The sequence below is a fragment of the Homo sapiens genome, chromosome 17 (assembly GCF_000001405.40).
Source record: "Homo sapiens chromosome 17, GRCh38.p14 Primary Assembly".
Classification (NCBI taxonomy): Eukaryota; Metazoa; Chordata; class Mammalia; order Primates; family Hominidae; genus Homo; species Homo sapiens.
In genome coordinates, this window is record NC_000017.11 from 72,094,502 (window position 1) to 72,118,512 (window position 24,011).

General features: G+C 47.3%; 1 long non-coding RNA gene across 2 annotated transcripts in view, besides 4 other annotated features; it reads right to left on the bottom strand.

The window, feature by feature from the left end:
• Nucleotides 1–24,011, bottom strand: part of SOX9-AS1 (SOX9 antisense RNA 1) — a 49,752-nt gene that overhangs the window by 23,460 nt on the left and 2,281 nt on the right. The window contains exons 1-2 of one of the 2 annotated variants that reach the window (NR_103738.1): nt 21,353–21,515; nt 19,705–19,899 (exon numbers count right to left, since the gene is read on the bottom strand). The exons of the other annotated variant lie outside the window; for it this stretch is intronic. This is a non-coding gene — a long non-coding RNA (SOX9 antisense RNA 1). Of the gene's footprint in view, nt 1–19,704; nt 19,900–21,352; nt 21,516–24,011 lie in introns of those variants that run through there. 2 annotated transcript variants of the gene reach the window in all.
• Nucleotides 9,598–10,856: an enhancer, noted in NCBI's record as "eALDI fragment used in reporter constructs". NCBI's record gives its function as "activates a beta-globin minimal promoter in COS-7 monkey kidney cells and TM4 Sertoli testicular cells cotransfected with either SRY + SF1 or SOX9 + SF1, and in HEK293T human embryonic kidney cells and TM3 Leydig testicular cells cotransfected with SRY + SF1 {active_cell/tissue: COS-7(+SRY and SF1 or +SOX9 and SF1) | HEK293T(+SRY and SF1) | TM3(+SRY and SF1 or +SF1 alone) | TM4(+SRY and SF1 or +SOX9 and SF1 or +SF1 alone)}" and the evidence as "EXISTENCE:reporter gene assay evidence [ECO:0000049][PMID:30552336]".
• Nucleotides 10,326–10,328: a transcriptional cis regulatory region, noted in NCBI's record as "SRY motif bases mutated in the eALDI deltaSRY reporter construct". NCBI's record gives its function as "important for eALDI enhancer activity in COS-7 monkey kidney cells cotransfected with SOX9 + SF1 or with SRY +SF1 {active_cell/tissue: COS-7(+SOX9 and SF1 or +SRY and SF1)}" and the evidence as "EXISTENCE:site-directed mutagenesis evidence [ECO:0005528][PMID:30552336]".
• Nucleotides 11,789–14,874: an enhancer, noted in NCBI's record as "hTES fragment". NCBI's record gives the evidence for it as "EXISTENCE:reporter gene assay evidence [ECO:0000049][PMID:21412441]".
• Nucleotides 23,195–23,816: an enhancer, noted in NCBI's record as "H3K4me1 hESC enhancer chr17:70113837-70114458 (GRCh37/hg19 assembly coordinates)". NCBI's record gives its function as "activates a minimal SCP1, AML or CMV promoter by ChIP-STARR-seq in primed H9 embryonic stem cells {active_cell/tissue: H9 hESC(primed)}" and the evidence as "EXISTENCE:reporter gene assay evidence [ECO:0000049][PMID:30033119]".

The window sequence follows — 24,011 nt, forward strand, 5'->3', positions numbered from 1 at the left end:
AGTCAGATATATGCGGCTTTGAGTATCAGCGCTGCCACTTACTAGCAGTATGATGTTATGCAAATTATCAACCCCTTTGTGCCCCAACCTTCTCATCTGCAAAGTGGAAATCATCCTAGCACCTGCCTGATGGACGTCTTGTGAGGATCAAATGAGATGATAAGAATGAAGTGCCCTGTGCTACTTACCAGGCATGCAGTGTACTCAGTCAACTCAATGAATGATCACTGTTACCATCTTCATTGTTGTCATCATCATCATCAATATGTATCAAGAGCCCTGCTGCATCTTTCTCTGGTGGCTCCTGGTGCTTTAAAACTTGATATGCTCATTCCATTCTGCAGCTACCAAAGCCTTTTGAGGGTTAACCTAACCTTGATCACTCCTGAAGAGCATCCAACCACCACCTTCATCTTGGGCAACAGGAAACTACAGGGCTCTTCTCAGGTGGTTATTCCCAGGAGGGGGAAACTTACTAAGACATACCAGAGGTCCTAATCAACAGAATAATTAAAAAGGGAGGCAGCCCTCTTCTGCAATCCCTGACATCTAAAGAGTCTGTCACCCTTTTCTAAGCCTATTCACATTTGTATGCCCAACTTGAGGGAACCGGGGCAGATGTTACTCTTCTCATCATTTTAAAATGAGGAAACTGAGGCACCTAAAGGCAAGCTGCCCAAGCTCACACAAGTGAACTGTTCAGCTCTTTCTTCAGATTACCCCATCCCATGCCCACTGTGCACACACCCTGAGCAGCAGCCTCCAACCTCAATATCCTCTACCCTTCCCAAAGGCGCCACCAGCTCCTTTACACAGTTTAGTTTTCCCTTCTCCCGACAATGGCCGTCTGTAAGAGGCCCCAGGTGCCTGGAATTTGAAATTGTTTTTCTTCCCTCCCTTCCTGAGGACCAGATTGTTCCTAAGCTCCAGGCTGCCTGGCCAGTGCAGGCCTGACTTGCTGGCACCTAGGGTTGCATTAAGGATATGGATTTGTTTTTGCAGGACTGCTCATGAGCGATGGAGTGCTGGCGTTGGCTTCCTTGTGAAAGGCACATGGCAACTAGGCATGTATTTGCAGGGAAGGAAACTTCAAGAATAAACAGAAAATACACACACTCCATATCCTGCCAGCCAAGCCCCAGCCTCCCCAGTTCTGACAGGTGATCCATTCTGACTTCCTTACTGAGCCACACACCCAAGCCAACTGAAAGCCTTGAAGCATGGCGGGTGGGAAGGAGCACAAACCCAGATTCTCCACATTCTAGGGGTGTGGGCTTGAAAACCTGAAACAAGGTCCACATCTGAAACCCAGGGAAAGCTATGCCTGCCTCTTAGAGTTATTGCGAGAATTGGAATTCAAGCTTATAACATGCCTATCCCAGGCCTGGAGAGTGGGTGCCAGGGCATGCTAGCCTTGTCAGCATTCTTTTTGGCTCCTCCAACATACCAGTCTTCTCTACCTCAGGGCCTTTGAATGTGCTCTTTTCTCTGCCTAGGATGCCCTCTCCCGTCCCTTCTCCTCTCACTCTCTCCTTGTGAATGACGCCCCTCATCCTCCAGGTTCCAGCTGAAATGTCATCTTCTCCAGGAGCCTTTTCCTAGCTACCCCTGATGCAGGAGAGAGCCCCCATCCTACCTCACCCCAATAATTGTTCTCTATATAGTTTGATTTCTTTGAATATTTATCACAATTTCTAATAATTTTTATTTGCTCTATCTTCCTGTCCAAATTTTAAGCTCCTTGAGGGCTGCTCTCTGCTGTGGCAGAATTTGTGCCTAGAATTAGACAGGGGCTCAATCAAAATCTGTTTAATTAATAAATAAATGCCATTACTTTGTGCAGGCTTAATTAGTTCAAGGGAGAGATCAATAACAGCCACTAGAACCCAGAATCCCTGACCCTGTGGGCAATTTTATCTCCAGCTGAGGTAAGATGAACAATAAATGGCAGTGGCAGAAAGAGGCATAGCCAAAAAGGCCAAGAACACTAATGGTCTTATTACCAGAAAGGACATTGCAAAAATGCAAATTTTTTATTGTGTGTTCTATAATATGGGGCCAGTATACTACACCAACTGGGCATTTCCACCCATTTCTGCTTGAGAATCTTCCCTACCTGAATGAATGTGTTGACTTAAAAACATCTAAACCACCTAAGAATTTAACAGCAGACTGGATGAAAAAAATACTGTCAGTGACAAGTTAATACATAGGAATTCACAATTAAGTTCTATCGTACAATACAGATTTCTGAGGGCCTTGGATTACAAACAAATGTGATTCTACACTTGATAGCTGAAAAACTTGCTCAGAAAATAAAATACAAAATTTCTAAACCATTCCAGAGACCTATTTAAAAAAGCATAAAATAGTCTACAATAACGATTTGGTTAAGTGCTTTGAAGGTCAGAGTGAGTTAGAGTTAGTTAGGAAAAAATTAAAAGAAAGCGTTTTGGCCAAGGTCTTGAAGAGAGTGATTGAACAGAGATTGGCACCAAAAAATTATAACGTTTTAGAACTGGAAGAAGGATTATTTTTATTATTAAACATAGCCCACTTATTTACAAATGCAGAAAATGGAGCCCAGTGTTCCCCACCCCCTCACCCAGTTCCTGCAGGAGAGGAGGGTCAGGACATTAGGAGCCGGGGCTCCCAGTCTTTCCACTACATCACCCAGGCCATTTTAGAAGGAGGTGGGGCAACATCTCAGCCAGGGCACCAAAACGAGTGAGCAGGATGTGGCAGTGGCTGTAGCAACCAAACTAGGCTAGGAGTGCAGAGACGTGACAAGAAACGCTCGAAGGTGGACGGAGGGTGGCCGGCGGCCACCTCATACAACACCCTTATTTTTGGCCTGTTGACTTGCTGAGCAGCACCTGAGTCATCCCCCTCAAGGCTTGTAACCAACTCAAATAGAGGAGCTTACACATCACCCTTTCACTTTGGGCATCGTGGGTGCCCACCAAATATGTGTTGATTTGCTTTGACTCTGATGCTCGGCCTTTAAGTGTGAGATGGGGGAGTCTGTGTTTGCTACCACCAGAGGGTGTTCTGTTTATGCTAGAAAAGTGCAGAGCAGGAAAAAAAGATATAAACCACCTCTTTTATAGATAGCAGGCATTGCTCCTTTTGAATTAAAATGCTTTTGTTAGTGTGGAAAGAGTTGAGCTGGAAGAATGTGTCAGAGGCTGGAAGAACAGCACAGAGGTGCCATTTTTGCCCTCCCTTTGCTACATCCAAGCATGGTACCATGGGTGTGGTCCCCTTTCTCGAGCTGGAGAAAGAGCCTCCCCAGAGACATTTGGATTCCAGCTCTGTTTTTTAATAGCCACATGACCTTGGGCATGACTTTGACCTCTGTGAGCCGCACTCCCCTCTTCTGCTAGCATTTGGGGAAGCATTTCAGCATTGTGCCATGGCAAACAGCAGGTGCTCAAAAAATACCAATTCTTCTTTACTTACTGATAAAAGTAGCCCAAGGGGAGTGGACAGGCTGCATGGAGACAGGGAAAGCAACTCTTCAGTGGTCTGGTGGCAGAAAAATGGGAGTTTGGGGAAGACAAATGGGAAGTTCATTTTCATGCTGCTGATAAAGATACCAGAGAGTGGGTAATTTATAAAGAAGAGGTTTAATGGACTCACAGTTCCATGTGACTGGGGAGGCCTCATACTCATGGTGGAAGGTGAAAGGCACGTCTTACACGGTGGCAGCCAAGAGAGAATAAAAGCCAAGTGAAAGAGGGAACCCCTTATAAAACCATCAGATCTCATGAGACTTATTCACTACCATGAGAACAGTATAGGGGAACTGCACCCATGATTCAGTGACTCCCACCAGGTCCCTCCCACAACACGTGGGAATTATGGGAGCTACAATTTAAGATGAGATTTGGGTGGGGACACAGCCAAACCTTATCAATAGAGCACTGAGGAATTGTCAAATCAGGAAACAAACCCAAAAACTTCTCAAGAGGAAGAAATGGGGCCATGGTTAGAAATGAAGAGCAAGGTTCAGAACACTTGGGCATGCAGCCCAGTACCACCAAGGCAAGAGCATTTGAGCAAGTTCTATTCCCTCTTTGGATCTCAGCATTTTCAAGTAAAAATAAGGAAGTTTTAATATTGATCGCTGAAGGTCCTTATAGCTCTATGGTTCAATGGCATCATACATGACCACGGCAAAGGGGAGAGGCTGGAGCAAAGGAAACTCCTCCCTGGTTGTCTTTCTCATCAAGGGCAGAAGCCAAATAGACAATCACATCAGGACCTAGTGGACTTAATGATCCTCAGAATAGTGTCAAAGAGATAAAGGTGAAGTGCGCTATTTTCAGCCCAGAGGGTCTCCATTCTTTCCAGGTTCCAGCTATATTGGGGCAAGTTGCATGGGAGGCGTATTAAAGGGAACAATCCAGTCTATCACAAAAGGCCCTGAGATTGGACGGCGTGGTAAGAAAATCCATTAAAACCGCCTCTGGCTTTGACCATGTTTGCCTATAAATTAAGCTCTGGTACCTAAGCCATTTTCTCTTTCCTGCCCTTCCAGGTTGAAGGAAGAGAAGCTAAGAGGATGAAATAGGAATTCAAAGTGCAAGTCCATCATACCAAAGAGCTGTCTCAATTACATCCTGACCCCTTTTAGTAATGTGGCCAGGGGTGTGCTTGCAGTTGGTTTAGTCCCCTGACATTTCACCACCTCCAAGATAGGCCTGGGACTGCTGAGACCCCAGTGGTAACCAAACCAAGGATCCTGAGAACTTCCCAGTGCCCAAGCTGGCAAACAAAAGAACATGAGTGTTGTTTGGGTTAGGTAAGCCGATACTGCTCTTCCTTTCCAAACTATCTGGGTCTGTGGAAGCTGGATATATTAGTTTCCGAAGGTTGCAATAACAAGGGACCACAAACGGGGTGGGGGTAGGTGGGGAGGGGGTTAAAATAACAGAAATGTATTTTCTCAGAGTCCTGAAGGATAGAAGTCTAAAATCAAGGTATCAGCAGGGCCATGTTCCCTCCGAAGGTTCTGTTCCCTGCCTCTCTCCTGGCTTCTGGGAGCCTCAGTCATTCCTTGGCTTATAGATGCTTCCTTTCAATTTCCCACCTTCTCATAGGGTTTCTTCTATCTCATCACAGCATCTTCCCTCTGTATATGGCTGTGTCTAAATTCTCCCTTTTTATAAGGATATGAGTCATATTGGATTAGAAGCCCACCCTACTGGCTGGGGTAATTGAGCTATACCCAAAGATGAGTATGACCTCATCTTAACTAATTATATCTGCAATTACCCTGTTTCCAAGTAAGGTCCCATTATGAGGTCCTGGAGGTCAGGTCTTCAACATCTTTTGGGGAACACAATTCAACCCATGACAATGGGCTTCTGTAATTTATGATCAAGGGGTCAAGATTTGAAAGTAACATTCCTGAAAGATTAAAGACCGTGAAGATGTACTCCTTGTCCCCAGTGTCCCTTCACCAGAAACAATACATTTTGCTGGACACCAACACAAGCAGTTCCAAGCCAGATACTGGCTTATAATCTCTCTCTCTTCACCCAGCCCACAACTAACTCCTCCATGAGCTGCCAAACACTCAGTATACATTCTCGTCACCAAGAAATGCCACTGGAATGAATCTGCACCAAAGCTGTTTATGTGACTAATGAACCTCCATTACGTTGCATCCAAGTAGGAGTAAAATTTATATTCTACTCAATGAAGGAGGGCTTTCTTGGGGGAGGGAATCACAGATGGCTGGGAATAGAGGCGGGCATTTAGAAAAAGCCACATATATGAACAAATACCAACACTGCAACACTGTAAAGGTATCTTGTATCAAGTTGGGAACTGTTTCTCCAAACCTCCACAAAAAAAAAAAAAAATTCAAACTAGAATACTTTCAGGGGTGGCGGGGGAGAAGGCATCCCCTTTTCTCCTTCCATGGTTTCAGGTACAGAAAGTTGGGGGTAGTTATAAAAAAGGCTCCATCACTGGTGTCTCCTAACATATTATTTCTGTATTAGTATTATCAGGCTTGTTAGCCAAAGACAGATGCCGAACAAAAAGCTGATCACATTTCCCAATCTTATTTGCAAACAAGCGTTCATTTCCTGCTTATCAAGGCACAGTGCGGGTACTTTGTCCATTCAAATCATTGTCTTAAGCCAGTGATGCAAACCAATGAGCAAGGTTCACCCCAGCCAGAGCCTGGACGCTCAATGTCATTGAACTCAAGGAGCAGATAATTAGTATTGAAAGGTGTGATTGCAGCCCAGTCGGCCAGGTAATCAGCCCCTGATTTCTCTTCAGGACTCTAGACCAGTTGGAAATCTTAGCCCTAGAGGAGGCTGGAGGGAATTATCCTGGAAGTGTAGTATCCCTTTTCAAATATAAACACCAGACAATTACAGCAGCCAGTTAGCCCTTCCTTGCTCAGCACACTTGCGTTTCAGGCAGCGATTGGAAGGGACCCCAGCTCTGCCCAGGCAGCTGTCTCCCAGCCTTGGCTCCCCAGGGCTCTTCCATCAGCTCACTAACATCTTCCAAGACTGTCGCAACCTTGAGATGTCTCTGCAGACTGAGCCTCCTCATCTCGGTGCTTGTTTTGCAAACATTTGGCTGCTTCATGGGAACCTGCCTCAACCTGAGGCCTGAGCTCTCTCTTGGCTGGGATGGTGAAGTCTTCTTGAGAAGGGCTGATCTCTTTTCTGATCACTCAGATCAGATGGCTTGGAAGTGACAAAGTGAAATGCATCTCTCTGCCATCCCTTCAAAGATGGAATGCCAGTTCTCCGTTCTCAGCAGCCAACAGCCAACTTTGACATAGAACTTGGTTGAATATCTAAATGGACACTCACGTCGGAGCATAATTTTTAGGAAAGTAGCTAAAGGTTCAAAACAGGTCCCCAGTCTCCTTTCTGACCCTGGGTGGCCCCTTCTCTCTGGACAGGGATGTCATCTGACAGGGAAGATACGTATGGAAATGTAGTCGCCTCTATATCAAAGAATGCTTTCTCCATTTTCTTTACGGTGCTTTGCTTTAACCAAATTCACAATGGCTAACATAGTTAGACAGCAAAATAAACATGAGTGGCCATAAAACACTGACTCTTCCAGACTCTGATGGAGGCTGTGCAGCCAGCTACCCGCCCCTGGACTTGGAGGGAGGGCCTAGTGTATAAACAGAGTTTGCATGCAAGACTCCATGTGTTATCAACATATCACATTCAGGCTCCTGCCAACCCCACAGCAGACACATAACTCTACATTATGTAATGTGGAAATCAGCAAGGCTTCGAGAAAAGTGGCTTTTTGTTCCTTAGAACCTATCTTCCACCTAGGGTAGATGTCCTCCCAGTCAAGCCAAGCAACTCTCCGTGGCCACCCCCCAGGCCAGGGGCTCACAGCTTCAGGCCACTGCTGCTCCTTCTTTCTTTTAGAAAGTGCTGAGCTTTGGAACACTGGGCAAAGGCCTTCTTGCCTTCTAAATTAGCCTTCTCTTGCTTCCATTACACCATACTTTTTTCTGCCAACATTTTATTATGCAATTTTTCAAATATCCAGAAAATCTGAACCACTCCTGAGATCTATTTTTAAGTTATTACTCTCTCGTGAATGGCTCTTGAATTCTTCTCCTTTCCTCCAAGTAACATTTTTCAAGATACCTGTTGTGGGAAACATGTGGCATGGGATGTCAGTGCCCCACATGGCTGCTCAAGTTGTAATCCAGGGCTTCTCTCGGTTTTCTTTCAGAGATGAGAAGAGTCCAGGCTTCAGTTACAGACAGACCGGGGTTCTTCCTAGCTAAACTCTGGATGTGTTTCTTTACTGCTCTGAGCTTGAGCTTGCCTTCAAATGGTGGTGGGCATGACAGCCAATCCAACTATCCTGTAGTGAGCACTTACTAGATGCCAGGAACTCTTCCACATGACACCCAGGGGCTCTAATCCTCATAGTAACCTCAAAGGGAGGCACTAGTGTTATCCTCCATTGTAGATAATCAGGCTGGAAACCCAAGCCTACTGCCTGTGGTGCTGTAGGAAGCACGCAGAGTGTTTATGACACACTTAGCACAAAGCCTTCACTCATAGTGGCTTTTCAACAAAGAATTCAAGGATTATTCTTATCAATAGTGGCAACATTTTTGCAGAGGGCACCCAATCAGCACACAGTCATACAGAACACAGACTGTAATAAGCACTTCTCATTGTCCTGGCCTTCTACACACCATTCTTTTAGCATCTGAGTTTGTTATCAGTGGCCTAGCACTAATGGCAGCACCCCTAAACCAAGGCTTTATTTGGACAGCAATCTTCTGTGTAGCTGGCAAAGCCTCTTCTGCAAAGCACTGCTTTGAGTTCTGATTTTTAATTCCGAACACTGCATGGTATCGTTGTGATAATGGGAAATGTTGAAGTGCTGTCATTAGGTACTTCTACGTCATATCAGATAAACAGAATTCAGACACAAGCACTAAGGTAAAGCTTTATTGGATGGATCATCTTTTTTTTTAAGTGATGGAAATATATCAACTCTAAACTCTGTCCATATGCTCTACTGTAAACATGGCTATTGGCATGGTGAAAATATTTCCAGACTGGTTCATCCCTCTTCTGTTCACTTCAAAGATATTTTCCACAGTGGTTGCCATACAAATTCTAAACCCTAAAGATTCTGGGGCTGGTGCCCCATAGATGATTAGCTCTTCTCTAGGGTGAGGTATGGTTTCCTTAAAAGCAAATGGACTACCATCTTTCAGCCCAAAAAGCTCTTGACTGCCTCCAACCCCTCCTTCATCCTAAGCTCCTCCAAACTCACTCTAAACAAACTCTCCCACAAGGAAGCCTGTCGAAGGTCTTTACAGTAAGTATCCTGGCCTTGGAAAAGGACAAAGAAAGGGCGAGCAGACACTGAATCTTGATGAGGAACTTTCTTCGAGCAAGAGGTAGAACTGAAGCACAGAGAACGTGGCATAGCTTTTCTAAAGTCGCAGACCAAGTTGGTCAAAAGAAAGAGAGAGCCCAGGAGTTCGGAATCCAGAGTGCTACTGTGCATTAGATCAGTAATAATTTCCATTAGCATTAAGTCCAGAGACCTTGGAACCAAAACAAATCCAACTGTAGAACAAGTGTTTTGGGGAAAAAAAAATTGAAAGCTCCCTAACAACATCATCTTTCTCACGGGGATGAAGTTTCAGATACACCAAGACAGGACACTTTATGAGTCGGATAAATTGTGTATCCAGAATAAGAACGAAGAGGTATATCCTGCATCTTCACCATTAATAGTTAAAGAATACAAGCTGGAATTTGGGGAGTATTGAGGCTAGAGTTTGGGAAAAAGATTCCCAGTCCAGGAAAGGGACAAACAGCTACAGAAGGAACAGAATACTGACTGATCCAACAGTGAAACTCTCCCCAAAGGAGAGTTACAGGCAATTCCAGAGCTATACGTACACAAATATGATTCTTGCTGAAATCTAAAGAGAAGAAAGGGTGAAAGGCGAAGAGGGATGAGATAAGGTAGTAGGATCCACCAGGAGCCCACATACATTCTTGACAATTATAATTAAGGACTTCCTATTGGGACGGACAATCCTGGCAAGACATCTGGTCACATTAATCCTCCTTTGGGCTGTGGAAGTTCACCACCAGAGGTAGATGTGTCATTGCAGAGAAACAATCAAGGATGAGGAGAGAAAGGGATGTTTTCGGTGGGCTGGCAGCACAACTTTGTGGACTGCCCTGTTTTTTAACAAACCCACAGAACTCTGTGGAGCCAAGTGTTCTTCACGCTAGGCCAGACTTTCCTACCCCACCTTGGGGGTCTGCCAGTTTTTGCTGGCTCCCTCTCCAATGTCAAGCCTTCTTGTGAAATGACTGGTGCTTCCTGCTTCCCATCACAACCCCGACCCAGACACGCCACCTCTCCCTGGGTATCCGCCCTATGGCTTAATGAAAGGGAGCCAAGGGGCTCTTGAGGACAGAGAAGCCCCTGTTCAGAAGAGGAGAAAAAGAACAGGGTCACTTCCTTCCCTGTTTTCTAGGTTTCTTCCGCCTTTTTCTCTTCCCGCCGTCCCCTCCCATGGCCGCTGCTCCTTGGCCTTGATTCAGCACTGCATTCCTGCTTCTTTGTGTCCCAGCCTCCCAGCTTGCAAGGCCGTGGGGATGTTCAGAGAGTTAACAGCTCCAAGAAATTCTCATCTCCATAGACCTGTCTACCCACCTCCCACCTGGGCTGCAGAGAAACAGCCAACATTCCTTCAGGCCCACAGAGAAAGGGTGTGACTCGAATTACTCAATGAAGCCTCCAAGCCAGCCTCTTATGCCCCCAAAACAATAGAGTTGTATTTTTCTTGGACTTCATTCATTTTATTTGGTTTCTCCTTTGACTAGCAGAAAGAACTCCTTTCCCTCCCTCTCCCTACCACCACTTTTCTTAATCCACCAGCTTCACTCTTCCAGTAGAACCCAACCCCCCAACCCCAGTAGGGTGAAGCCTTGGATCATGAACTTGAGTGACGTCAGCGAGCTTGAGAAACGCCATCCGCCATCCGCTTCTCCTGGGCTTTCTCACATGTGGGAATCATCTCTTGGGAGTCTGCATCCCATCTCTGATCTGTTTGTTTTGGATGCTAATCCCAGGACGCTGGGTGAGGTGTTAGGCAGACTGACCTTTCCTGTTTTCTGAGTCAGTGATCTTAGATCACTAAGTCAGGTGCTAAGTGTTGAAAATTAAAATCAATGTGTGGGGCCTGCAAGAGGGAGACAAGAAGGTGAGAACAAAGGGTGAAAGGGGAAGGTGACATCTAGTTTTGTTTGAAACAAACAAAAACCTATCTATCTGCCATAAATCCATCCTCATCAAAAAGAGATTCTGGTAGCTGGTGTCTCGTGTGCCTGTAGTCCCAGCTACTTGGGTAGCTAAGGCAGGAGGATCGCTTGACCCAGGAATATTAGGCCAGCCTGGGCAACATAGTGAGACTCTGTCTCTTAAAAAAATGGCGGGGGTTGGAGGGATTGTACGTATTTGGTATGAGGCACACATTACGAAGAATATGATGTGGACATGAGTCCTCCTGACAAATTGCCTCTGAAAAGCTACAGCCCATCTTAACTCCCAAGGCAGCTTCCACTCAACCCCAAACAGCCAAATCTTCTGGTATTCAGGGAATTTTTGTTTGATTGTCTACTGAGCTCCCGACGTATGTCAGGCTGTCAGGCTGCAATGATATTTAAGGAGAATCTTTTTTTTTTTTTTTTTTTTTTTGAGGCGGAGTCTCACCCTGTGGCCCAGGCTGGAGTGCAGTGGCATGATCTTGGCTCACTGCAACCTCTGCGTCCCGGGTTCAAGTGATTCTCCTGCCTCAGCCTCTCGAGTAGTTGGGACTACAGGCGCGTGCCACCACGCCCAGCTAATTTTTGTAATTTTAGTAGAGACGGGGTTTCACCATGTTGGCCAGGATGGTCTCGATCTCTTGACCTCACGACCTGCCTGCCTTGGCTTCTCGAAGTGCTGGGATTACAGGCATGAGCCACCGTGCCCAGACAGAGTATCTTACCTCTGCACCAAGCTAGGGTATTTAAGGCACCACCAATTCCACCCCCAGCTTCTTTATCAAACAAACAGATCTGATGGAATAACAATGCTAATAATGCCAGGTGTTTGGCTTGGATTGGCTTTTTAAATCCAGCTTTTATCTCAGAGGTCAAAATCCTGAGCAGGCCCAAGACAATGCAGCCTAAACATCTTTAGAAACTCAAGACAACTTCTCATTTTAAATATGAGGAAGCTGACTTGTTGAGAAGTGAACTGTTTTACAGGTCACATTAACATAGTTATAGAAACACAGAGGTCACATTTTTGGTCTAAGGCACTCCTGATTTGGAATTACTCCCTGAAAGATCTATGGAGGTTGTACTGTATTGACAAAAATTGGCTTTTAGGTTTAACCAGATGCCCTACCCATCTGCCCAGTCTTTGTTGCAGGACAGTCTTCAACCCTCCAATCTCCCATTCCAGCATAGAGCAGGGACTTCCTTCTACTTCAGCATATCAAGCAAAGCAGGCACAATTCTTTTCAACAAATATCTGTTGAGTATCAGTTTTGTGCAAAGCATTTGCTCAAATCAAATAATAAAAAGTACAGAGCCCACTTGTGAAACAAACCGTCTCATACTCTTCATAGACACGTTTTCAAAAGTCAGCAACTCATCCTTTTTCCTACAAAATTCTGTTCTCAAGAGACAACTTGACTATCAAAGGAAATAAAATATCCCATTTTCTCTTCTCTGGGAAGCACACACACACATTTTTATAAAATAATAATTTACCTAGTAGGATTTACACATCACTGATGTAAATATACTAGACCTGTCTAAATCTAAACTCCAACTACACACGAATTTTTTTAACGCTCCACAAAAAAGAAAATGAGAAAAGCAAAACTCAACAACACCCTAAAGGAGTCAGATCCTCTTTCTATATTGTCAGGTAATTGTTAGCAGAAATCAGCTGTAATAACAAGCCATTTTAAAGGAATGCCAATTCCATTCTATCCTGCTTAAAGAAGATCCAGAATCTGCCTTTGTTCCTAACCTGGGCAGTATGGAGAAAATAACAATACCTTCTTTCAGAAACTGTGGGGAATCTGAAAGGTAGGATTCCTGCTCTCCCAGATAAGAGCTGGCAGGAGAGGTGGCAGCTGTCAAGGGGGAGGCTTGTGTGAGCCCTGGGGTCAGCCAGGAGCACCCTGGAGAGAAGACCAGGACCATCAGAAGGGAGCAAAGTAAGAGGTGCTTCAGGGAGAAAGTGCTTTGCTTTCCGAAACTTAAAAAGGATCTCCACTCCTCAGTGTGGACTTGTGTGCAGCCAAGGCCTCCAGAGACTGCAGAACCACCAGTCTCTGGAAACGTCTCCTTCGTCGTCCTGGCTGACGGCATGTTTGCAGTTTGGGACTGTTTTATGCAGCTGATTCTTTCCAAGAGTCTGAGGTTTAGGGTTTGGGTGAGCTTGCTGCTTAGCCTTTCCCCCCTTACCTTTTTATTCACAGTTTCCGACACACAAAGCACTTTAAATTATCCATGGAAACCTTTGTGACCACAGACTTAGAACACAGCTATGACCAAGTGTCAGAAACAGGGAAGGCATCCGCGAATGTCCAGCTATGTGGCATGAATGTGTTGCTTTCTCTTTTCCTAATCAGGTCCCAAAAGTGGCATTTCTTTGCAAAGGGCTACACAGACAAGGGCTTTAGCTAGAAAAGCACCACTGCCTGACATGCTGAATTAAGAATGAAGTTGCCCTTGGGTTGGTAAATTTGGGTAGTCGGATAGCACGCAGCCAGGCCTCTCCTAGCCGTTCAAGAAATGTTTGTGGAATGAATGTGCACTGCTTGTTTAAAGAGCACGCTGTCATTGTTAGAACACACTGGACGCTTCCCAAGGCAGGAGTTTTAACATTTAAATTTTTCATTGTTCTTGCCCTCCCACTCCCCTCAGCCTTCCTAGCTCCCTGGAGAGGGGCCTGAGCTCAGGGAAAGTCAATAAAATATATTCTTGAACTGACTGATCTTTGTCATTTTCATGAAGTCCCCTGTCCTCATTCTGTCTATATTCACTGGAGTCAATACTTAGCAATGCCCTCACCCCATCCATTCCATTCTCTAACCAATTATACAGGAATAATTGCCAAAAATTAAAAGACTAACCCCAATTGAATTGGAATCTGGCTGTTTCATGGAGAAAACAGTTAAAGAACAATGGAAAGGACACCAAAATACTCAGGGAACCCTAACCCTATCTACGTCATGGTTTTCTGCAAGTCATAACCACCCCCTCTGTGTTTTGCTCTCTTTTTTCCTTAAAGGAGCATATAGCAACCCTCTTCCCACCTGTTCTGCATGAGCAAGTTTTCAGCACCAGTGTTTGCTGTACCAAGGAAATGTGTTATCATTCAGACCTGGCTTGAACCAGACAGTTCTAACCTCAATTTCCCCCAAAAAGAATGTGCCCTTCCTGTACATGTTCCTTCAGCATTAGGGGACAATTGGGAACTCTGGGCAGGTGGGGAGAATGAACACAAGGGCAAACAGCTTGAAGCAATGGAGATGCAGATAACAGAAGAAACCACTTGGGTACCACACCTGCTATGCCCTATGCAAAATGCAAGACAACTACGGAGATTCAGCAGTTCTCAGCAGGCAGGGCACAGTGGCCCACACCTGTAATCCCAGCACTTTGGGAGGCCAAGACAGGTGGATCACCTGAGGTCAGGAATTCGAGAGCAGCCTGGCCAACATGGTGAAGCTCCATCTCTACAAAAAAAAAAAATATATATATATATATATACACACACACACACACACACACACACACACACACACACACACAAATTAGCCAGGCATGGTGGCGCGTGCCTGCAGTCCCAGCTATTTGGGAGACTGAGGCACGAGAATATCTTGAACCCGGGAGGCGGAGGTTGCAGTGAGCTGAGATTGCGCCACTGCACTCCAGCCTGGGCGACAGAGCAAGACTCTGTCTCAAAAAAGAAATTCTCAGCGGCCCCTCTTCCTTTCTAACCCACTCTCTTCCATTGACAACCTGGCTCAGGGACTGCCATCTCTAAATGTGAACTAACATTGTCCCACAAAATCTGTAGTCCAAAGAAAACAAGGCAAGGCCAGAAAGAAACAAGGCCATGGTAAACACAGTTTCCCCCGATGTGGAACAGAGATGATAACAGGGTAGCCATCCCAGTTTGTATTGAGTTTTTACATAATAAGCTTCCAAAATTTGGTAGCTATTGTTTTCTTGTTTCATTGTTGTTGTTGTTAGTGTTGGTTTTTACCCCTTAACACCTACAGCTGTGAGATTTGAGCCAAGTAATTAACCACTCTGCACCCCATCTTTCCCGTCTGTAAAATAAGGAAAATAACAAGAACCCACCACGAAAGGTTCCTGGGGGCACACAAGGTAATATATCCAGGTAAAGCCCTTAGCAGACTACCAAGCTCATACAAAGGGCTGTGCAAGCACTGCCTTTTATTAAAAAATGTCACGCCGGGCACAGTGGCTCACACCTGTAATACCAGCACTTTGGGAGGCCGAGGCGGGCAGATCACCTGAGGTCTGAGGTCAGGAGTTCGAGACCAACCTGGCCAACATGGTGAAACCCCATCCCTACTACAAATACAAAAATTAGTCGGGTGTGGTGGCGTGCGCTTGTAATACCAGCTACTCAGGAGGCTGAGACAGGAGAATCGCTCGAACCTGGGAGGCGGACGTTGCAGTCAGCTGAGATGGCGCCACTGCACTCTAGCACTCCAGCTTGGGTGACAGAGCAAGATTTCGTCTCAAAAAAGAAAAAAAAAGAAATGCCTCCGGGAGCAGAAAAAGGACAGGGTAACAATAGAGGGCCCTGCACTTCCAAAATGATGAGGACTCTTCCAGGTGTAAGAGGGTGGTGGCATCCAATTTCTGCTTCGTAGAGTAAAATGATTTTGAAAATCTGGATCAAGATATAAAAAGGCTGCCACATCCCATAGAGAAGAAAGAAATCCCAGCACATAGCGGAGTAAAATAAAGTAACGATCATTGTGAAACAAACTCAACCCACACACCATTCCTACAAACCCGGGAGAAGGGTCTCATGAAAAGGAAATTAAACAAATGGAGGACACGTTTGATGTGCATGGTTCAAGTCACACTTTGTTCTCTGCTCCTAGTAGACAAAGTCAGCCAAACCCTGATTAGGGGAGAGGGGAAGAGATAAAATCAGAGATGCACTTCACAAAATAGTGGAGTCCCAGTCTGTCCACGTGACCCAAAAAAGAGTGAACAAGAGCACAGGGAGAACAAGAAGACTGTGGAGGAGTGGGCTTGCGGGGTGCACCCGTACCCTGAGTTCCGTGATAGCAGCAGCATGAGGAATTCTGTGTATGCGCGCGGCGGCGGGGGAGGCAGGCGTGGCCCCTGAGACGCCGCATCCAGAGATCTGCCTCTCCATTAACTGTGTCACCTTGAGCAAGCAGCCGACTATTGCCAGAGCTTCTGTTTCTTTAGGTGGAAAACAAAGAGAATAATTCCTTCCCCTCACAGCCTCCTAGAGATATGCAGGGAATAGAGCTGAGGAGTGGATGGAAGGGCACTTCAAAAGCGAAAGCAGGAAGCAGCAGCAAGGAATGTGTATTAGTGATGGAATTATTTGAGAAGGAACAAGAGCATATGAATATGTGTGCTTTGGAGTGGCGCATGTGTGTGTATGAGAGAGACAGAGGGAGAGAATGAATAGGCGTGTCCTCCCAGGATTCCCCCACGTCAATGAGTGATGGTGCAGTGTGCGAATGGGTGTTTATTCAGGGGAGACTGCATAGAGCTGTGATCACTGAGTCCAGGCAAAGGCTGGTTGCAGGGGAGAGGCATAGCAGCCACAGTTGTGGGTGGAAGCTGACAAAACAGAGAGAATACAGGCTCTAAACAGACAGGGGGCCAAAACCAAGGCTTCTCCTCCCCAAGCCGACACCCCACACTTCCTACATGTGGTGGCTGCCCACGGGCTGGAAGACAGTGCCTCTCCCATGACCCCTCAGTGCATCACCCCACCCATCTGAGCAACAGGTTTCACCCAGAAGCAGCAAAAAGCTACGGCACTTTTGACATTTAATAACTAAGTAAATAGCTGTAGAAATGAACCCCGCCCATCCTTCCCCACCCCCAAGCCAATGCAACAGTTCCTGAAGCTAATGTTTCTCTCCTCCTCCTGTCCTCATTTTCCTTTTCACCTCTTCCTACTCCTCCTCCTTCTTCTTCCAAATAAATCACAGTTTGGATTAGGGGCAAGAGTAGTGGTGGGTGATTTTGTTTCTCCAACGTCCGGGGTCAGAGGATGCAGGGTCAGAGGCACGAATGATGCAGACAACACACACTGTGTACACTCACTGCCATTCTCGCTTTCCCTTTAACTCCCACCCCTCCCCTTCTACAGGAGGGGCTGGGAAGGGATTTGTGTTTCTGGGGCTCTGGGGACTGCAGTCCCTGGGGCCATCTGGGAGTGATTAGCCTACAGATTTCAGGTAGCTCCAGCCACACGTGCAACCCACATGACACCCGCTAATTCCATACCCACAGCTCTCCTTCTCCAAACAAACAGCAGCACGGTTTGCAGAAAGAAGAAAATGCCTTCCCAAGAGGAGCTGCAGAGAAAGGCCAGGTCATAATCGTCTCGTAGGCACCAACTCCCCACAACCACCATCTCCGCCCACCATTCATTCACCATTCAGCCACACCACCACCAGGGCTCATCTGTGAAAGGGCTGTGCATTGAACTTAGAAAAGCAAGCAAAAAAACCAGGAAGAAAAAAAGTTATTTTCATTGTATATTTGGGCAGCAAGGTCTGGGGGTTTTAGAGGTCCTGATATGTTAATAATGATTTCAGTTTGCGGTTTGATTGTTTTCTCAAAACCTGTAAATCCAGACCAGAAATGTATAAAGCTTGCAGTCTGAAAGCTTTATATCCATCACTACAAATATTCTCCAAAGGAGGTCTACAACACTCTTTCTTATAGAAGGAAGTCAAGGCCAGGCACGGTGGCTCACGCCTATAATCCTAGCACCTTGGGAGGCCCAGGCAGGAGGATCACTTGAGCCCAGGAGTTTGGGACCAGCCTGGGCAACACAGTGAGACCCCATCTCTACTAAAAATACAAAAAATTAGCAGGGCATAGTGGTGAACACCTGTAGTCCCAGTTACTCAGGCGACTGAAGTGAGAGGGCCACCTAAGCTCAAGAAGTCACGGTTGCAGTGAGCTGAAATCACACCATTGCACTCTAGCCTGGGCGATGGGAATGAGACCCTCTCTCAAAAAAAAAAAAAAAAATCAGAGGGCAGGAAATTTATATGAAGGTACCAAGACAAGGACAGATTTCCTTGTAAGTGGCATAAGGAGCCATCTGCCAGTCACATTTCAAAGGGAGCTTTAAGGACATTCCATCTAAGTGATCAAGATGTCCCACTGTGTGCCTAATGGCTGAAATTCTACCATTAGGTATTCATTGCTTTGGCTATATTTTAGCATTCATTCCCTACATGAACGTTTATTCAGCAGAGTCTATGTGGCACACAGACTGAGGATACAAAGAGGATAACACTACGTGCTTTTCCTCGAGGAGATCACATTTCAGCTGTGGAGCATATATACACAAAGACAGCAGCACAATAGAGGCCTGAACAAAATGTTATAAAAACACAGAGATGGGAGCCAATAGCTTTTCCTGGGGAGTCCTCAAATCTTCACAGAGGGGTTAGCATTTAAACTAGATCTCTACCCCTTATTTAAGTCTCACTGCCTCTTAGACTGAGAACATATGAAGCCTTAGTAGTCATTTACTCCATAGTCTGAATAAGCCTCACATCTTTCCCAAGGTAAGATAGGTGCGGGCAGCTTTTATCTGGGAGAGACAGCTTTCCCTGAAAAGGAGAGTTATAAGAAAGGACTGAAAGAAAGCCTTCCTAGTATATGAAAAAGAAAAGTGAAGATGAGGTATAGCATATAAATCCAAGATTTTTCAGAATCAAGAGAGAACTGAATTCTTTTCTCTGAACCCATTCTTTTATTTTATTTTAATTTATTTATTTATTTATTTATTTATTTATTTATTTATTTATTTTGAGACAGAGTCTCACTCTCTCGCCCAGGCTGGAGTGCAATGGCACAACCTTAGCTCACTGCAATCTCTGCCTCCCGGGTTCAAGCAATTCTCCTACCTCAGCCTCCCGAGTAGCTGGGATTACAGGCATGTGCCACCACGCCTGGCTAATTTTTGTATGTTTAGTAGAGACCAGGTTTCACCACGATGGCCAGGCTGGTCTCGAACTCCTGACCACAAGTGATTTGTCCCCCTCGGGCTCCCAAAGTGCTGGTAATATGGGCGTGAGCCACCGCGCCTGGCCTGAACCCATTCTTAAGTCTCCAAAACAACTTCACTAGCACTTCCTGGTTTGCCTGACTAAATATCAAAATGCTTCGAGCAGAAGTGAAGTTGGAGTGGCAAATCCCAGAGACAGGAGAAGGGAATAGGTGAGTTTGTATTCTATCCTCTGCCCAGACTGTGCAGTCCACTTGGCTGAGGATCCTATAATAACCCAAGAGTTGGCTGAAGTAGGCCTTGGGCCTAGCTGAGCTGAGGAAGGTGAGCTTAGAGGCAAATGTCCCCACTGATATCACCCTGAAGCCCTGCTTTCCTAAAACCTAAGTTCCTGGAGGAGAGTCAGAAACCAGAGAACCATTTAAGTGCCAGGAAAATACAAAGCAATTAGTGACTTTTGCTTTAGGCAGAATCTAAAGAGGAAAAAGAAATCTTTGAGCCTCATGAAACTCCACCTCCCTGGGCCTCTTCCGGAACCACAATGTTCAGCCCACTCAGTGTTTGGCCAATGCCACTCTCTCCTCCCCCAGAACATTTCTTTGCTCCTGGAAAATCATCTGGAAACTGTCATCACCACTGTGCTGGTTGGCAGATGTCCCCCAAAGAGAGAGTGAAGCGTACCACACACTACAAGGCATTTCTGGGCTTGGACCAAGAAGGGGCGAGGGCGGAGAAAGAAGATGGCCCAGTCAAAGGGCAACACAGCATCAGCAGGGCTCCTGGGGCCAAGAGGAAAGAGATGGGACTGAGTCTGCCACCAAGCCAGGAGCTTGGGGTGCCACTCCTTACCTGCGCTTTACCTGCCTCCAAAGCACCTTGATGGAGCCGCAAGGATGGGAGGCAGCTTTCTGTGACCTGTGAGTCGTCTCAGGGAAATAGAAGGGGAATCCATGAAAGAGGCAGCAAGAGTCTCAGAACATTATGAGCCCAGAGGACAGAGCAGAGTTCACGTGGACAGAGGCTGGATTCTGCGGGAAACCAGACCTGGAGACAACAGCAGAGATGAAATCTTGTCTCCTTCAGAAGTTTAGGCACATTGTCAGCCCTCAGGCAATATTCACTGAATTGATTTATTCAAAAATCAGAATGATTTGACGTTGGGCTAAATGGGAGAGACATGACAAGTGACAGGGAAAGACAGGATGGAAAGGACATGGTGTCTCCACCACGTTGTACTTCCTCTACCCAGAACTCTACTCTGTCATCTGGAGTCCTAGAAAGATTTAGATGTAGCCACCCCATTCCCCCCATCCCTGCCCAGCCTCGTGTTCGTCCATACTTTGCAAATTTGCAAGCACCCGCAACAGCCTGCTTTGCCGCCCATGATACAGCATATATTTAATATAGTTGGGGTTCAAACTAATGCTCTACTGGGAGCTCCCTAGGAAAACTCTAGAGCCAGGTCCCTGGGGAGAAGTGGACCCTGGAGGCGTGGGGATGGGGTGAACGCCTGGGTGGAATATCTGAGCAAACCTACTCTGCCTTTCTGTCCAATCATACGGTAGAAAGCATACCTTCCAGGTACAGTATCAACCCCTCCGTCAGGGTTAGACACCACCTTTTCTCCTGGCTGCTGAGGAAAACATCTCAACCTATGAGATGTCTCCACTGCTCCAAGAAAATGAGTATTTAGGGGAAAGATTAAATGCCCATATACTTGAATCTATAGTGACCCTACCCCTAAATTATACTAGTAACTGTTTATCTGTCTCTGCTTTGCCTGTGGATATTAAGGCAGATGAGACAAAAAGTCTTCTTTTGCCAACCAAAGCTAACAGTTTGCGAGCTTTAGGGGGACCCCAAAGGGGACCAGTTTCTGTAATACAGTTGATGCCTTCTGTCTGTGTTCTGTCAGGATTCCCTCACATTTTAGCCAACCTGGAAACTAGGGAAGAAAAAGTAACAGGTTCCAGTCCTAGAACTCTGTGGAAGAAATCAACCTGCCCTTTCTCGTGGGGGTAAACACATGTGATCCAAAAGATAGTGACAGGAACACTGTTATATTTTCCGGGTCTTAATGATTTGGAAGGGGAATACTGTCCCCTCTCCTAGGCCAGTCCAAATTTCACAACCCATCCGGAAAACAAAAGGCTGAAGACAGAAAAAGAAGACATTTACTATTCCACTTCTTCCTTTTACATCAGTGAGAGAAAGGGCCTTGGGAGAAAGATGGCACAGAGAGAAACAAAAGAAAGAAAGAAAGAAAACCAAAAATCTCTGCTTTCTCAAAAATCCCTGGTCTGCCTATCTAGGCTGGGAGAGACCCCGAGGGCAGCCTGTCTCTCCTGCAGCCTTTGCAGTCAGCGACAGGCATCATGAAATTAATTTGAAATAAACAATGACAAAGCAGGAAGCTCAACGGGTCCCTGAGTTGCTTTGGGCCCCCACTCCTCCCCGAAGCCCCTGGGCTGTTTAACAAAGCCGTGGGTCCGCCTACCCCAAGCACTTTTTGTGACGTCACAGCTCCGAGGACCATCCGGGGGCTTTACTCTCGCGGAAGCCCAAAAGTTGGGGTTTGACCTCATGACCTTGGCCTTCCCGGGGGGCGGGAGGCCCTCGGGACAGGACGCGCTGTCCCCGGAGTCCGGAGCTCAGGCCAGTGGCAGTCGACCCAGCCCCCGAGACTCCCTCACGCCGCTCCAAAACCAAAACGGAGCCCAACACGAAGCTGGGTGAAGCCGTAGCTTGCAGGAGCCAGGGAGATGCGCTCTGCCCGGGACTTCCCGGGTCCTGTTGAGACGGAAAGGATCGCAGGGAAGACAGGATAATTGGTCTTTAACTCTGACCGTTACCTTCGAAATTGCACCTTACAAGCATGTCCTCTATTTCCGTGGCTTGATGGGGACACTTTCTCTGATTAAGATCCGGAATAATCACCCACCCAATGGGATCTCTTAGAGGGAAGCGCTGGTTAGAATCCCTCCAGGCTGAGATGCAATCATCGCCATTGAGCCTGCCCTCCCCTAGGGAAACCCCACAAAACCATCCTGAGAATCTCAGCCCTCTTTGGTCGGTACCTGAGACTGCATAGACCTAAACTGAAAGGTGATCGAAGGGGAGGAGCAGTTGCTCGTGCGGAGGAAGCTCTTGGGGCCGAAGTGGCCCCGGCCGAGTATGTCGCAAAGGAGGCACCACTGCGTTGAGCGCTTACTGTATCTTTACTTTTAAATCACCAAGGCAAAATCACCTTCAGCTAAAAATGCCTGAAAGACTTTTTAAAATAGTGGGAGTGGGCGTTAGGGGGAAGAGATGGCCTAGGAAATTTTCCGCAGGGCGTTCTAGGGATGAGTTGAGGGAAGCCGCATGACGCGCGGCTCCCCGGTGCCACAGCTAAGGACAGATATTTTCGCAAAACCCAGAATGAAAAAAGAGCACGCTCCCTTTGGGAGCGCTGTCCCTTTGGGACTGGGGCCTTCCACTCCCACCCCTCCTTTTTCCCTGATCGGCTCCGCAGCTCCACGACAAGCCAGCTGGTCTGGTCTCTGACTTGGGCTCCGGTCCGTACCCCCGGGGCGCCCTGCTGTGTTACAGCCGCCCGACGCCCCCAGACCCGGCCAGGTCACCAGGGCAGATTGGAGGTTCGCGCCCCCTCACCCGACACCTCCCGTCCACCTCATCTTTCTTTTTTTCGAAAACAGGAAAGGGAAGAAAACTGAAACGGGCCTCTTGGTCTGCAGTTTTAGCGGAGTCGGGATTCCACAGCCCTGAGTGGCACATGCCGGTCAACTTCCCAAAGTCGGGCTCCCGTGTGGGGAGAAATACACACGCAGGAATGCACAAGCATCGCGTGTTCGCAACTGTCGCTGGGAGGTCTGGCGGCTGTGATGGGACATGCACTCACTCGGGCAACACGTCCACAGGTGACATCTATTCGATCAGTCAACAGATATTTATTGCGCACCTACGACGCTATCTGGTACTTTCCTTTTCCCCTTAGCTGTTGCTGTCCAGCCCAGCGCCAGTCCAGAGACGGGCTTACCGGCCGCTCCCTTCCACAAGAAACTCGTGTCCGGCGTGAAGAGCGGACGATAAACACTCTCCAAGCCCAGCGAAATGTACTAATTACAGGAGCGGCTGGGAGCCCGCGACACGGGGACCTGTCCCTCCAGGGATAGGAGTCTTCTACCTGCAAGGGACCCGGCCTGGGGAACTGGAATAGACAAGGGGTAACCCCTTCTCCCATCACCTCTAATGAGAACATTGTCCGGGGCTGAGATATTTGGGGGACGCCGCTGCTCACCCCACCAAACTTTCCCTAGGGACAGAAAAGCGTCCCTACCGAAAACGGATTTAAACACCGTCCCCACTTTTGCTAAGGAAGTTTGGATAGGGAGGTTGTGGTCCTTAATTCGCCAGGTAAAAGGAACCCCATCAGCTCGCATCCCTCACCCCCATCCTGAGCACTGAGTGTTTGCGAGAAACTCGCCCTGCGCCAGCAACTCTGGGCTCCGGTCTCAGCTCCCGCGTAGACGCGGAGGAGAGATTGGCGGCCCCCGCTGGGGAAATTGAGCCCGGCGCCGGTCCGGGACGTGCAAGAGGGGGAAAGGGGGAGATCCCAGACCTCGGTTTCCCGAGGGCTTCCCTGGGGAGCCACTCGCACCTCTGTGTCTCCGCTCCCGGCGGCAGACCTCGCGGCGCTTGCTCAAGAGCGGGTATCCGAAAGCACGTCCCGAACACGGAGAAGCGCCCTCCGTCTCCTGCCTCGTGACCTGCGCCCTTTCCCTCCCTCACCGCATCAGATGGAGGACCCTGGCTCCTTTCGCCCCTGGCAAAATGCTCTAGCCAACACTGGGTCAACAGCCTTAGTTTCCAGATCTGTAACCTGAACATCAGGAGCGGGTTCCTTTCCTTCTACCTGTGTCTGAGGTCCTCTGGTCGGGGACTGCGCGCGTCTTCCCAGGTCAGGGAGGAGGGGTCGGGGCGACCTGAGAAAGACACAACGAAGCGAATGGAGCCCCTGAATGGGGAAAGGGGAGTGGACACCAGGAGGCCCCTGCAGAAATGCAGGACCGATCCACTCGCGAGCTGACAATGCCACGCGCTAGACTTGGCCTGACGGTGGCAACGCTTGGCACCTGGGGGATAGGGGCCTTCTC